The following is a 15,222-nucleotide window of genomic DNA, read 5'->3' as shown; positions in this document are numbered from 1 at the left end:
TTTCCACACAGGGCAGATTTTTAAAGCAGAGAACCCCCCAGTTGGCATGCCCCATGCAACTGGCTGCCCCGAGCCTGCCATTCAGGGAAGAGAGGCCTGTTGGAGAAATAGGTTTGTAGGATTGCAGAGGAAAACCATGCTACTTCTTCCATTAAACTCCTGCTTAATTTATAACTATGAATAGATAAAGATCACTAGAAATTTTTTAAAAATCACCAATCAGCATGAAGCAGAAGGAGCAAGATGAAAAACAAACTTGCCCCCAAGGGAAAAACAAGTAATTGAGGAAACATGCATAAGGTAAGATGAGGCTGTGGGCAAGGAGCACAGTCTGGATTTTGCTGATTGCATCCTCTGGTGTTAGTGAACTCATTCTTCCATCCTCTGTGTTTGTAATTCTCTTCATTGCTGGTTGAACCTAGAAGCTTAATCAGATTCAAGGTCTATTTTATTTTTTTGGCAAAACTCACACAAAGGTAGGGGTATGTTCTATCGGGAAAAACATTGGTTGTCTCCTTTTGTGGTGGTAATAGCCGTTGATACTCAGTGCCTAGATTTCATTAATTCATTAGGGGCTTGTATTAATTTAAAGTAATTTCGAAGAAAAATTAATTTTCAAAAGAAAAACTTTTTAAAAATATCTGTCCACTGGTATAGATTATATATAAATTAAAAGAACAAAATATCTGTCCACTGGTATAGATTATATATAAATTAAAAGAACAAAGCTTATGCCAGTTCTAAAATGCTATCAACCTATTTCTCGGTTACAGCAACTGAGCCAGTTTTGGTATAGTCAGGAAACTGCTCTGCAGCTGGCACAGGAGGCAATTGCAGCTGTAGGAGAAGGTGGCAGGTGAGATTCAAATTTTCTCTTTTTGGCATCTAATGTAATATTTTGAATGTCTTTCCTGGATGACAGATGGTTTGTAAGAAGTCTGAACTATAATCTGTAAATATTGTAGATCATGGTTTGCAGCATATGACAGATTAAGACCAGCTTCAACACTGAGTTTAGAGACCCACTCAGAAACCTATTCATTGTGGAATGTCTTATCTCTTCCTTTTAACATTTTCTAACCTGTTTCTTATCTTTATAGTTATAGAGCTCAGTTCAAAAGAGAATATCTTACCTTTTTGAAGTTTTAAGAATATAGATTTTCTTTTTTGTTAATTTGATATGTATATATGTATGTATGTATTTATTTATTTTGAGACGGAGTCTCACTCTGTTGCCCAGGCTGGAGTGCAGAGTGGTGCGATCTTGGCTAACTGCAACCTCCGCCTCCCAGATTCAAGCAATTCTCTTGCCTCAGCCTCCCAGGCAGCTGGGACTACAGGCACACACCACCATGCCCACCTAATTTTTGTATTTTTAGTAGAGATGGGATTTCACCATATTAACCAGGCTGGTCTCGAACTCCTGACCTTGTGATCCACCTGCCTCAGGCTCCCAAAGTGCTGGGATTACAGGCATGAGCCACCGTGCCTGGCCTGGTTTTTATTTTTATCAGAACCTTGCATGCATATAAATAGTCAAATGGTGACTGGGCGTGGTGGCTCATGCTTGAAATCCCAGCACTTTGGGAGGCCAAGGCGGGCGGATCACCTGAGGTTCGGAGTTTGAGACCAGCCTGGACAACATGGTGAAACCCTTTCTCTATGAAATACAAAATTAGCTGGGCGTGGTGGTGCATCCTGTAATCCCAGCTACTCAAGAGGCTGAGGCAGGAGAATTGCTTGAACGTGGGAGGCAGAGGTTGCAGTGTGCCAAGATCACACCACTGCACTCCAGCCTGGGAGACAGAGTGAGACTCTGTCTCAAAAAAAAAAAAAAAAAAAAAAGTCAAATGGTTCTAAAAGGCTTAATGTATTCTATATCCGTATCCCTGATTAACCCCCAAACTCTCTTGTCTAAATATCCTATCAGTAAGTTCAAACATATTTCAACTTCTTTTTTAAAAAAACCCTATTCCCAGGGCTCTGCAACCTGTCCCAGTGTGCATGGTCTTGCGCTGGTTTTACGACACCTCTTTTCTTGGTATCGCCCTTCATCATCATGCTGGAGTCCTTATACCTGTCTTTTGTTCTAGATTCCCTATTTCCTGTACTCCGATCCTTAGTTTACAGCCTTACCATGGTGGCATACCTCCTCCGATAGCTGCTACAGAAAAGGCACGTAGGAGGGAAGTTTTTAGAACCTTTCGTGTTTGAAAATGCTTTTTTCCTACCCTTCCTCTTGATTGTGATGGTTTTGTTGGACAGCACATTCCAGGTTTTGAAGGCGTTGCTCCATTGTCTCCAAACTTCCATACATGCTGCTGACAAATCCAGTATCATTCTGATTTCTTATAGGAAACTTGCTTTTTTCTAACCATGCCCACAGCAAGCTTAGGATTTTCTCTTAATCCCCGGTATTCAATGTGCCTCGCTGTGGAGTTTTTATCTATTGTCCTGGGTCCTAGAGGGCCCATTCATCCTCAACACACATGTCCTTCAGTTTAAGAAAATTATCTTAAATTATTTCTTTCCCCACTTTTTTTTTCTGTTCCTATTTTTGGAACTTCTATTCTTTGAATATTGGACCTGATCTTCTAATTTTCTTCTTTTTCTATTCATTGTCTACTTTCTGGGAGAATTCCTCCACTTTATCTTCTAAACTTTCTACTGAGTTTACCATATCTGCTTCCATGCTTGGAATTGTCTGCAGCTCTTTTTTTGGTCTTTGAGTATTTCTTTATTATTGTGTCTTGTTCATCCTTTTGAGGATATTATAGAATTTTTTAAAGTTCTCTTCTCCCTCCATAGTCTCTATTTACTCCAAAATGCTTTTTCTGTTTGTTAATTTCATATGATATATTTATCTAATCTATGTTCCTTAAATGTCTGTGGACATTGAAGGGTGGGGCACTCGAAAACTGGGAGCCTCATCTGCTTTGATCTCTACAGTTGGAGCATCTGAATGAGCCGTTCTCCTAGGGAACCCCCGTGTCTAAGACTTTTCTTGTAGTTTTGTCAGTGGTCCAGGGAAGATTCTCCTAATTCCTGACTGGAAGTTATACATCTAGTGGGCATCATCCTTGGAGGCATGTGACTGAAAGCCTGGAAGTTTCATCATCCAATGCGTTTAACTTAATCCTCCTAATTTCCACATGGTACATCATCAACCGCTGTGCCTGGCATCTTCCTTCCAAGCATCCCCCCCATCCAGACAACACTCCTCCAGTTTTCTGCCACAGTCATGGTGGGGGGCAGGCTTTGGGATATAGCAGAGAATCCTGAGAATGAATTGCTTCTTAAAATAGGCCTTTCAGTAAAACCTCCCAGTTTTGGCCCCACCTTCACCTCTGCTTCTTGAGTTACCGGGTTCTGTCGCATCCTGAGCCCTCGGGTATGCCACCACGTGAACCAGGGCGCTTCTCAGCTTTCCAACTGCCAGTGTAGGATTCGGCCATTGCAGGTCTGCCGAGCCCCACTACCCACCCATCTGCTGTTCCGCTTGCTCAGTGTGATTTCCTTAGTCTCCGCTGACATGCCCTTTGGTTTTTGCTCTTGTATTCCTAAATAAGACAACATGAAATTGCACTCTTGTTTTTAGTGGGCTTTCATGAGGGAGCAAATGTAAATGAATGTGTTCAATCTGCCATCTTTAGTGGGAAATCTTCCATTTTTCTTTTAACTGTTCTTTTTCTTTTTTTGATTATATGTAGTGGTTTAGTAGGTTTTTCTTAGTGACACTGCTTTTAGATATACTTTCTTTTTTGCCACTAATATGAGGGCCTTGGAAGCAACTTTTAACCTCCTTTGAAAGTCAACTTCAGTATTCATAGGAACTAAGTCATCATTTAAAGATGATACTCGGGAGGCTGAGGCAGGAGAATGGCGTGAACCCGGGAGGCGGAGCTTGTAGTGAGCCAAGATCCCGCCACCGCACTCCAGCCTGAGCGTGAGCGCGAGACTCCGTCTCAAATAAATAAATAAATAAATAAATAAATAAATAATAAAATAAAGATGAATGAGAACCGCATTTATTGAGTGCTTACTGTGTGCCCTCTCCTGTTGTAAGTGCGTTGTCAGGGTCATCTCATTCTATCCTCGTATCTCTGTGCAATAGTTCCTCTTACACGCTCTAGTTTAAAGACAGACACTGAGACCAGAAGTTCAGCCACTTGCAGAAGGTCACCCAGTGGGAAGTGGCAAAGCTAGGCTTTCAACACAGGTTCTCTGATCCCACTGCTGCCTGGTAACCACCACCATCCCCACCAGACCCACCGGTCTTTCTGCTCCCATCCCTTCTTGCATCCTGGACCACTGTCCTACCTGAAGTACATCCTTCAGGTGGATTTCTCAGGGAATGCCTGCTGGAGGCAATTTTGTTGTCTGAAAATATCTTTATTTCACCTTTTTTATCGGAAGATGTTTTCATAGTGTGCATATATAATCTTTGGTTGCAGTTCATTCTCTGTCAGCACAGTGAGGCTATAATCCCACTGTACTCCAGCTTCTTTTCCCCCTCCTACCGCCCTGATCTAGAGCTGCTGTGCAGGGAGAGTTGTGTCCTGCCAGCAGGGAAACACATGTTTCCAAAGAAACATTATGCGATGTCACGGGTTCTATTATCTGTTGCAGTGTCTTTGGGCTGAGAAGCCTGCTTAGCCCGGCATGGGTACCTAAGTAAGACGGGTAACACTGTCTCTGTTGGAAATGCGTCACACATTTTTAAAGCTGAGCGTAATTTTTAAATTAGGTCCTTTTTTGAATGACAGTGTATGCACATATAAAAATCCAAACGTGACAAAGGAATTGTGAGAAAAGGTCACTCTCTTCTCTATTGTATCCAGGTCCCCCAGGCACTCTCCCATGAGGCAGTCATGGTCACTGTCTCTTGGACACCTTCTAGAGGTCACCTGTACATCTATATGCATATATTCCCACTCCCATGAAAGCATACTTCACACTGTTCTGTTCCTTGAATAGATCTCAGAGATCATTCCTTATCAGCATAGAGAGGGCTGCTTCAGCCTTTTTTAAATGGCCACAGAACTTTCCATTGTAATAGGCATACCAGCTGGGCACAGTGGCTCACGCCTCCTTTAGGAGGTCAAGGCAGGCAGATGTTGAGCTCTGGAGTTTGAGACCAGCCTGGGTAAAGTGGCAAAACCCTGTCTCTATAAAAATAATTAGTGGCCAGGCACGGTGGCTCACACCTGTAATCTCAGTACTTTGGGAGGCCAAGGCAGGTGGATCATGAAGTCAGGAGTTCAAGACCAGCCTGGCCAAGATGGTGAAACCCCGTCTCTGCTAAAATTACAAAAATTAGCCAGGCGTGGTGGCGGGTGCCTGTAATCCCAGCTACTCAGGAGGCTGAGGCAGGAGAATCGCTTGAACCCGGAAGGCAGAGGTTTCAGTGAGCCGAAGTCATGCCACTGCACTCCAGCCTGGGCAACAGAGTGAGACCCTGTCTCAAAAAAAAAAAAAAAAAAAGTGTATCACAGTCAACTCAATAATTCCGTATTTAGGTTACTTCTAGCTTTTTGGCAGTTGGTTTTAACAGTTAACTCTTAAAACACTACCCATTCATAAACTGGGCTGCTGTAATGAGATAGATACTTTAATTTCCTTATACAAAAAAGAAGCAAAGCAGAAATTCAGAATAGCTTGTCTGCAGTGAGAGCACATTTTAATGTATCTTTATGGAAAACTGGAGTGAGTTGGGGAGTTATTTGGGTTTATCTTTCAAGATCATGAATATTACAAAATGACTTTATAGTATTTAGTTGGGACAAAAAGTATTTAAAATAAATATCAAAGGCCTAGCATGAAAATAATAGGTAAATTTAGGCTTTGGGCTAACTACATCTAAATTTTGTCATAATGTGTTCCTGATATTTTACATTTTTCACTATAAAAACTATAGCCTTTCATACCTCAAAATTATAAGCTATAGGCCAGGCGCGGTAGCTCATGCCTGTAATCCCAGCACTTTGGGAGGCCGAGGCAGGCTGATCACCTGAGGTCAGGAGTTCAAGACCAGCCTAGCCAACATGATGAAACCCCATTTCTACTAAAAATACAAAAAAATTAGCCAGGCGCAGTGGCGCGTGCCTGTAATCCCAGCTACTTGGGAGGAATAGCAGGAGAATAGCTTGAACCCAGGAGGCAGAGGTTGCAGTGAGCCGAGATCACGCCACTTCCCTCCAGCCTTGGCAACAGAGTGAGACTCCATCTCAAAAAAAAAGAAAAAAAATTATAAGTTACAGACTTTTAAGTACCAGATTCCTTAAAAGTGAGACACTATAAAGTTTTTTCTCAACATTAACTATTACACTAGTTTGCATTATTGTTTCCTGTAAGAAACTCTGAGCACTCGGACCCATGTATTGTTTAGTGAAGAAGTTGTTAACACCGTAATCTCTCTGTTAAGGATGTTTCATGGTGTGTTCATTTTGTCTCCTAGAATCGCATGTGTGAGTGCCCCTAGTGTTTACCAGAAACTCAGAGAGCTGTGCAGAGAAAACTTTTCGATATACATCTTTGAATATGACAAAAGATTTGCCATGTATGGAGAGGAGTTTATTTTCTATGATTACAATAATCCATTGGACTTACCCGAAAGAATTGCTGCACATAGTTTTGACATCGTAATAGCAGATCCTCCCTATCTTTCGGAGGAATGTCTCAGAAAAACATCGGAAACCGTCAAGTACCTGACGCGGGGCAAGATTCTGCTGTGCACAGGTAGGTGCTGCATTTCATATCTCATCAAAGTCACTGACAGTGGCTATTCAGGTCTTCAGGGTCAAGAAAAAATCCTGAGTCCACCACTTCCTGTGTGACTTGTGAACAAGTTATTTAACTCTTTGTGCCCTGGATTCCTTATCTGTAAACTAGGACTGATAATACTCTGCCATTAAGGGTCCTAAAGAATTAAGTGACACAAAGTACCCAACACTGGGTCTGGTGCATGGTGACTACTTGATGAATGTCAGCTGTTACTTTTACATACCATCATCAATACTATCGGTATCTTATCCAGCCTCTACCCTTTATCAAAGAGAAATTTGGAATCTATAGAGTTTAAGTGAATTGCCTGAGGTTACAGAGTAGACATTAGATTGGGTTAATGTAGAAGAGTTTTCTTACTGGCGAGATCGTTATACTTTTTTTCTCTCTGTAACCTCAAACCATTGGGCTAAGCCGTCCTCCCACCTCAGCCTCCCAAGTAGCTGGAACTTACAGGTGTGTGCCACCAAGCTGGGTTTGATACACTTAAGGCAGATATGGTAAAATTCAATAGAGTAAATCTGAGAACTTCAAGGTGGGAGGATTACTTGAGGCAAGGAGTTCTAGACCAGGCTGGGCAACACAGCAAGACTCCATCTCTACAAAAATTTTAAACATTAGCCAGGTGTGGTTGCATGGGCCTCCCCGCCATTTGGGAGATGGAGGTGGTGTGTCTGCAGTTTCTTCCTTCTGATCGGTTCTTGGTCTCACTGACTTGAAGAATGAAGCCACAGACCTCGTGGTGTTACAGCTCTTAAAGGCGGCACCTCCGGAATTGTTTTTTCTTCCTGGTGGGTTCGTGGTCTCGCTGACTTCAGGAAAGAAGCGGCAGACCCTTGCGGTATGTGTTACAGACCTTAAAGTTGGTGTGGACCCAAAGAGTGAGCAACAGCAAGCTTTATTATGAAGAGCAAAAAACAAACCTTCCACACCATGGAAGAGGACAACACCTGGTTGCACTGCTGGCTGCGGGGTGGCCAGCTTTTATTCCCTCGTTTGTCCCTGCCCACGTCCTGCTTATTGGTCCATTCTACAGAGTGCTGATTGGTCCATTTTTCAGAGAGTGCTGATTGGTCCATTTTACAGAGTGCTGATTGGTGTGTTTACAATCCTCTAGCTAGACAGAAAAGTTCTCCAAGTCCCCACTAGACCCAGGAAGTCCAGCTGGCTTCACCTCTCAGTGGGATGATTGCTTGATCTCTGAAGGTCGAGACTACAGTGAGCTCTGATGGTGCCACTGCACTTCAGCCTGGGCAGGGAGCAAGATTGTCTCAAAGAAAAAAAAATTCTGAGAACTGAAACCTTACCAACTGACCCGTCTCTTTATTTCTGGGTACCTGTGGTGTCCACACCCTTGAGTGCTGTTGTGGACGCTATACCCCAGTCCCTCCGGGCCGCGCTTGTCCCCTGGGCACCCTGCTGGGAACAGGGCTGGGCCAGGAGTGGAGCCACGGGAAGCTGTTCTGGTGTTGCAGAGCTGCGTGTGTGGGAAGGGGCGCTCTGTTCGCACAGATGCCGTGGTTGCCTGCACGCTTATTCACTCCGTTGCTTCCTTGAGCTCTCTGCAGTGCTCTGTGCACCAGCAGGCAGCGCTCTGGCCTCATGGAGTGTGCATTTTAGTTTCAGGGGATACTTTTAAAAAATAATAATAAAATAGACTAAAGGCTGGAAGCACTAACTCTGAGAAGAGTAACAGAGACCCAGGGATCTGCACTTTGCCCCAGGGACCTGAGGGGTCAGGAGCCACGGCCACAGCGGCCCGGGAGGGCAGAGTCGGGGCAGGAGGCCCCCAGTGCCTAACAGGGGACCGTGGGCATTGGGGTTTTCTTCAGAAGCCCAAGGCGACGGGACGCAACTTGTCTGAAGACGTAAGACGTTCGCTTTAACTTGACCGAGGTTTTGGGGCACGTGGACCTGGGCACCGCGGGCTGTTGCTGCACCCCAGGGAGGGCGGTGGCCTGCAAGGAGGGCAGGGCAGGGGCGTCAAAGAGATACTTTGAAGATGAAGTTGAGAGAGCTTGCTGTATTTGAGTGTGGAGGGGAAGAGAGGAGAGGAATCAGGGCTGTGGATGCCACCTCCTGTGGGGATGTCGCAGGGGAGCTGGCTGTGCGCTGTGGGCCCAGGGCGGGGAGAAATTGGGAGCAGATGGCAAAAGGGAGTGGCAATACATTCGCACCTGTGTTTGCAAGATTGGATATTACTGAAAAAGGCTCTTGGCTCAACGTTGGGAAATGTAGTTTTTAGTAATTATTTTTGCTTTCCATATGTGTGTATATATATATAGTACGTGTGTGTGTGTGTGTGTGTATAATCTGCTTCTAAATTTCTAAGTGTCTCGGCTTTGCAGAGGTAGGAAAATAATTCATTCAATAAAAAAGACATGGAAAAAAGTTGGTAAATTGCAAAAATATTGGAGAAGGTGAAAGGGAATGTAAAGAACACTCGCTCCCTCCCCCCACTTGTGAATTGTCAACTAATTGCCACCGGTGGTCCGCCTAGAGCCCCTCTCACAGCTCAGGACGCACTGAGCTCCGGCTGGGTTGTCACTCTCTGGATTCATTTGCTTTGTTCTCTTCAGGTGCCATCATGGAAGAACAGGCAGCAGAACTCCTTGGAGTGAAGATGTGCACGTTTGTTCCAAGACACACCCGGAACTTGGCAAATGAGTTTCGCTGTTATGTGAATTATGATTCTGGGCTGGACTGTGGGATCTGATTACAGACGGTGACATAACACAGGAAGGAACCCTGTCACATTCCTCTTTTTGTATTTTCGTAGTAGATTTAAAAGTTATAATCTCTTCCCCTCCCCCCAAACTGGAGCTGTCCCTGGCCTGGTTTTCAAAATAAAGTGTGCGATCTTCATTATTGTTTCCTTAGGGAGGGCGTCCCTAGAGCTCAGTCTTCTGCCAACCTGAATCCATGGAATTCGAGTTGGAAGAAACCTTAGAATCTGCCTGATCTTCTCTCCTCATTTAACATGTGTAAAAACAGAAGAACAGTTGTGTGGCTTGCCCAAGGGCTCCTGAATGAGACAGGACCTTGGCCTCTGCCTCGGGCCAGAGCAGTCTGGTAGCATCCTAGGGCTTGTGAGGAACCCCACCCCCATGTCCCACCCCAGCCCTCCAAGGAGACAGACTTGCCTCCATGCAAAAAGGCAATAATCCAGTAACTAGCGTCTGAATGCCTCTTAGAGCTCTCCTCCTCCTCCAGGTTCTAGGTGGGCTGCGAGGGATGACAGGTGCCCAGGTGCCCTCCCTGCGTGGCTCAGACTCAGCACCCTCCCTCTGAACTGCCTGAGAAAATGAAAGACCCATCTGTAAACCAAACACCAGGACCAAAAAATGGAGCTGGGACGAGTGTGCTAGATTCTCACCGTTCAGAAAATATTCCTCTGTACATACCCCAGAGGATGTCTCAACAATCAGAAGTGAACACACAGCATGGCTGGGTCTCGAGGGCATCACGCTGAGTGAAAAAGCCGCTCCGCAGAGGTCACACACTGGATGTTTCTAGGTATGACAGTCCCAGGGAGGAGAGATTCGTGGGTGCAGGGGGAGCATCAGGATGGGGCGAAGGGGATGGGCGGGCCACAAAGGGGAGTTCTCCTTGGTGGTAGCTTGTTCTTTATCTTGTCTGTGGTGGTGGCTTCATGAATCTGCATGTGGCAGCATTGCATAGAACCACACACACACAGAGATGAGCTCGCGTGAAACTGGTGAACTTGGAATGGGATCTGTGGGTTGAGCCAGTGTCCATTTTCTGATTGTGACACTGCACTATAATTATGTAAGATGTTACCATTAGATAAACTGGGTGTAGGGCATAAGACCTCTCAGTATATTTTTGCAATTTCCTGGGAATCTACAATCATTTCGAAATAAAAACTTTCCAAAAAATTAATGTCCTCCTTCTAGGAAAGGATTATACTTCCCCACCTCATAAGACTTGCTTTGGCCAACAAAATGTGAAAGGAGGCAGGGTGCTGTGGTTCATGCCTGTAATCCCAACACTTTGGGAGGCCAAGGCAAGCATGGATCACTTGAGTCCAGGAGTTCGGGACCAGCCTGGGCAACATGGTAAAACTTTGTCTCTACCAAAAATACAAAAAAAAAAAAAATTAGCTGGGCATGGTGGCACACTCCTGTAGTCCCAGCCACTTGGGAGGCTGAGGTGGGAAGATCACCTGAGCCCAAGAGGGCGAGGCTGCCGTGAACCGTGATGTGCCACCGCACTCCAGCCTGAACGACAGAGCCAGACCCTGTCTCAAAAACAAGAACAACAAAATCCCAAAATGTGAAAGGAAGTGATGTGTCATTTCCAACCTCTGGCTGTGAGTGGAGCAGGGCCACTGCCCATCTACCAGGGATGCGAGGAGAGCCAGGAATGAGCCTGTGTCATTGAACCATGGGCTCATTACCCACTGGAGCAAAACCCAGTTTGTCCTGACCGAGCCAGAGAGGAGGCCTGGGTCAGGGAAGCCTGGAGGACAGGCCTGGTCTTTCTTGCTGTTTCTTAGCCCTCGGCTGCCCGACTTCTGGACAACTTTTAATTTACTTTAAAAATCACTCTTTTCGGCGTGGTGGCTCACACCTGTAATCCCAGCACTCTGGGAGGCTGAGGTGGGCGGATTACCTGAGGTCAGGAGTTCAAGACCAGCCTGGCCAACGTGGTGAAACCCTGTCTCTACTGAAAACACAAAAATTAGTTGGGCATGGTGTTGGGCGCCTGTAATCCCAGCTACTCGGGAGGCTGGAGCAGGAGAATCACTTGAACCTCAGAGGCAGAGGTTGCAGTGAGCTGAGATTGTGCCATTGCACTCCAGCCTGGGCAACAAAAGCAAAACTCAATCTCAAAAAAAAGAAAAAAAAATCACTCTTTTTATGAGACATTGGTATTTTTATCAGTGTACAAGCACCTGGCCTTTGTTAAGTTTTCAATAAGTGTTCTTTAAAAAATAACCCCTACCTTATTATTTCCATATGTGGTTTGCTCTGTATGTAATTTGTTACATTGTAGTAACAAGTTATGTACAGAAATGCCATGTTTGACTTAGGACCTGTGGGAGAGTGGTAGTCTAGAAATGACAGACTTGTAGTTGTCCTATGAATCCAGCGGTTAGTTAAAGAGAAACCTTATTTTTTCACAGGAGGTGAGGGAGAGAAGGGACAAAGTTGGATTCCTCTCAAAAAATGTACAAACATTGTAAGTTAGGAGGCTTAAGCAATGAGGTGAAGGCATTTTTTGTTTAATAAGCAGCCAACGTGTTTCATGGCTTTGGACCCTGGTGTGATTTTGATTTTAGCAAACCTGTGTTCATATATGATCCACTTCTAGGTTTCATAAAAGGCCATCTATACCTCTGCAGCCTTATATTTTAAAAAACACACTAGGTCTGGTATATTCCTTTGGGCAGTTAATGAGGTGGGAGGCGTCGGGGCTGGGTGATACCCACGGTCAGTCATGCCGTCTGGAACCCCCAAGGCTCCCTCACCTCCTGTACCTTAGTAAAGCACTGCAGAGGTTAAAAGGAATGTTTTAATCCACGTCTTTTTAAGTCCCTCCTGATTAGTGGGAAGGGGTAGAAGAGTAATTTCTGTTTTGCTAACAAAATTCCAGCACTTCTCAGAAACTCTTCAGATGCGTGTCTGGGGTGAGGAGGGCCTGAACAGCAAGAAGAGATGAAAGGCAGGGGGAACTTTAAGACCCCATTTCAGATGGGGGTTCTGTACTCTTTCTCCTTTCATTCCTTCCTAAAATCAGAGCTGGCACCAGTTACTAAAAATGACCATTTCCCCCCTTTGCCCTGCTGGAAGAGATGCGGTAAGACATAATGAGATAACTGGCCCCTGACTGTGGAACTGTTGGTATTTGCAGAGTGTTTTTGGATTTCTGTTCCCAAATGATTCCATTTTTGTAGAACAAGTATATAATTGAAATACTGTCAGTTGGAAACGATCTTCAGTAACCAGCAAAGCACCTCCATTCCAAAGGTTGCCACAGAATCCTCCAGGTAGAATTCATGTGAAGGAAACATGCACTTTTCTGGGAGGAGGGGAAGAAGCTCTGAAATGTACAATATCATGTGTTGCCCCTCCACAAATCCTGGGAATGAAAGGCATGGAGGGAAATGTGTGAAATAAACCAAGTGGATCTGGGAGCAGGGAGGGAGATGTCACTGAACTTTGGCTGGCACAGTTTATCTAGCCAGTAAACCTCCTTATTTGTTTGATAAAACACAATACCAACCTCCCATCTCTGCAACACCCCCCCCCCCACCAAAAAAAACCCTTCAGTTTTAGCAAGAGAAAAAAATTTTGTCCCAAGAAGATCTTGTTATTCATTGAAACAGTACCTTCCCAAGCTTAGCCACCACCTCTAATTTCAACATACTGTATTTAAATGCTGCTGCCCAGTTAAAGTTCTAGATTTTGTTTTATTTGTTTATTATTTTACTTGTCAGTTATTATTATTATTATTTGAGATGGAGTCTTGCTCTGTCACCCAGGCTGGAGTGCAGTGGCACGATCTCAGCTCACTGCAATCCCCGCCTCCTGGGTTCAAGCGATTCTCCTGTCTCACTCAGCCTCCTGAGTAGCTGGGATTACAGGCGCCCACCACTGCGCCTGCTAATTTTTGTATTTTTAGTAGAGACAGGGTTTTTGTATTTTTAGTAGAGACCATCTTGGCCAGGCTGGTCTCAAACTCCTGACCTCGTGATCCACCCGCCTTGGCCTCCCAAAGTGCTGGGATTACAGGCGTGAGCCACCGTGCCCAGCCTTTTTTTTTTTTTTTTTGAGATGGAGTTTCACTCTTGTTTTCCAGGCTGGAGTGCAATGGCATGATCTCGGCTCACTGCAACCTCTGCCTCCTGGGTTCAAGTGATTCTCCTGCCTCAGCCTCCCAAGTAGCTGGGATTACAGTTGCGCGCCACCACGCCCAGCTAATTTTTTTGTATTTTTGGTAGAGATGGGGTTTCACCATGTTGGTCAGGCTGGTCTCCAACTCCTGACCTCAGGTGATCCACCCACCTCAGCCTCCCAAAGTGCTGGGGTTACAGGTATAAGCCACTGCACCCGGCCCAGCGATTTCATTTTAAACTTACCTTTCATACAAAAAAAAAAGTCACTTGTAAGTGACAGATGCCTCCTAAAGCGACATAACAAGTGACTTTTTTTTGGTATAAAAGATAAGTTTAAAATGCAGAAGGCTTAGCTTGATGTTTATTTTCAATGTGGCTTATGAATGACTGCAGTGCAATGATGTGTCCCTGTCCACACGTGTTCATGTGTGCCAGGCACTGTGCCAGGCACTTTACCAACAGTGTTGAATCCTCACAGGGTGGGCGCTGTGACCTCATTTCACACGGAAGGAAAATGAAGCTTAGTGAGGTGAAGGGAGCAGGTTCATAGAGCGGCACTCAGGTGCGAGGCGCTTGAGCAGCTTTGCCATTTCATCATTTTAGTGGAGGAGGGAGGCTGTCTCGCTTACTGCCGCCTTGCAGGAGCTGGGTGACTAGAACCAGGCAGGTGCCCAGTAGATAGTCACTAAGCGGATGAATGTACGGTACAGAGAAAAAACACAGGCTGCCTTTCTCGATCTTCAAATGGAAAGCTCATTTCTTCTGTTAGGAATGTGCTACCTTTTAGCAAGCTGAGGTTAAACTAATAATTAATGCAGTGAATAAAATCATGACATTTTCCCCATGCAGATAGTTTCCTCTCCTTGTGTGCCCTTCCTCCAACGCTTGCACTGTTTATATTTGAGGAGTGACCTGGAAAGTGTTACACAACAGCAGCGATGACGGAAAACACACCTAAGTTGCTGCTTTAAAAGGCAGTTCTGGGCCAGGCGCGGTGGCTCACGCCTGTAATCCCAGCACTCTGGGAGGCCGAGGCGGGCGGATCACGAGGTCAGGAGATCGAGACCATCCTGGCTAACACGGTGAAACCCCGTCTCTACTAAAAATACAAAAAACTAGCCGGGCGAGGTGGCGGGCGCCTGTAGTCCCAGCTACTCGGGAGGCTGAGGCAGCAGAATGGCATGAACCCGGGAGGCGGAGCTTGCAGTGAGCCGAGATCGCGCCACTGCACTCCAGCCTGGGCAACAGAGTGAGACTCCGACTCAAAAAAAAAAAAAAAAAAAAAGGCAGTCCTTTTTAATGTATGGATTTGTGTTGTTGTTGCTGTGGACCTTCTGGTTCCTGGACAGGAATGTGTTCTAGACTTACCACCACCAGAGGATCCCTTTTCTTCCCCCAGAGGTTGAATGGGGAAGTGTAGTCTGTGGAGCTATTCATAGCTACTGCTTTCCATTTTGAATTTTTTATTTGGACAGTGTGGATTTGCTCAGTGATGTGTTTTTCATGCACAATTTCTGTCCATTTTAGTGGGAGCTGAAAGTCTCTGAGTGACCCATTCATCTGGATCAGACCAAGGC

General features: G+C 45.2%; 1 protein-coding gene across 4 annotated transcripts in view, besides 2 other annotated features; it reads left to right on the top strand.

Annotated features, from left to right (window-relative positions):
• Positions 1–9,848, top strand: part of EEF1AKMT1 (EEF1A lysine methyltransferase 1) — a 45,231-nt gene extending 35,383 nt beyond the window's left edge. For 3 of the 4 annotated variants that reach the window (NM_001318939.2, NM_174928.3, XM_017020432.2), the window contains exons 3-5: positions 774–856; positions 6,458–6,738; positions 9,363–9,848. In NM_001318939.2, the coding sequence (NP_001305868.1) occupies positions 774–856; positions 6,458–6,738; positions 9,363–9,499 (501 nt within the window). In that variant the 3' untranslated portion in view covers positions 9,500–9,848. The remainder of the gene's footprint in view (positions 1–773; positions 857–6,457; positions 6,739–9,362) is intronic. The other variant, NR_134934.2, reaches the window with a different exon arrangement.
• Positions 7,936–8,462: an enhancer, noted in NCBI's record as "H3K27ac-H3K4me1 hESC enhancer chr13:21304256-21304782 (GRCh37/hg19 assembly coordinates)". NCBI's record gives its function as "activates a minimal SCP1, AML or CMV promoter by ChIP-STARR-seq in naive H9 embryonic stem cells {active_cell/tissue: H9 hESC(naive)}" and the evidence as "EXISTENCE:reporter gene assay evidence [ECO:0000049][PMID:30033119]".
• Positions 8,463–8,990: an enhancer, noted in NCBI's record as "H3K27ac-H3K4me1 hESC enhancer chr13:21303728-21304255 (GRCh37/hg19 assembly coordinates)". NCBI's record gives its function as "activates a minimal SCP1, AML or CMV promoter by ChIP-STARR-seq in primed H9 embryonic stem cells {active_cell/tissue: H9 hESC(primed)}" and the evidence as "EXISTENCE:reporter gene assay evidence [ECO:0000049][PMID:30033119]".
• Positions 9,849–15,222: the final 5,374 nt, after the last annotated feature.

Source organism: Homo sapiens, chromosome 13 (genome assembly GCF_000001405.40).
Source record: "Homo sapiens chromosome 13, GRCh38.p14 Primary Assembly".
In the NCBI taxonomy this organism is placed as follows: Eukaryota; Metazoa; Chordata; class Mammalia; order Primates; family Hominidae; genus Homo; species Homo sapiens.
Note: the sequence above shows the minus strand (reverse complement) of the source record. Positions and strands in the feature narration are given on the sequence as shown.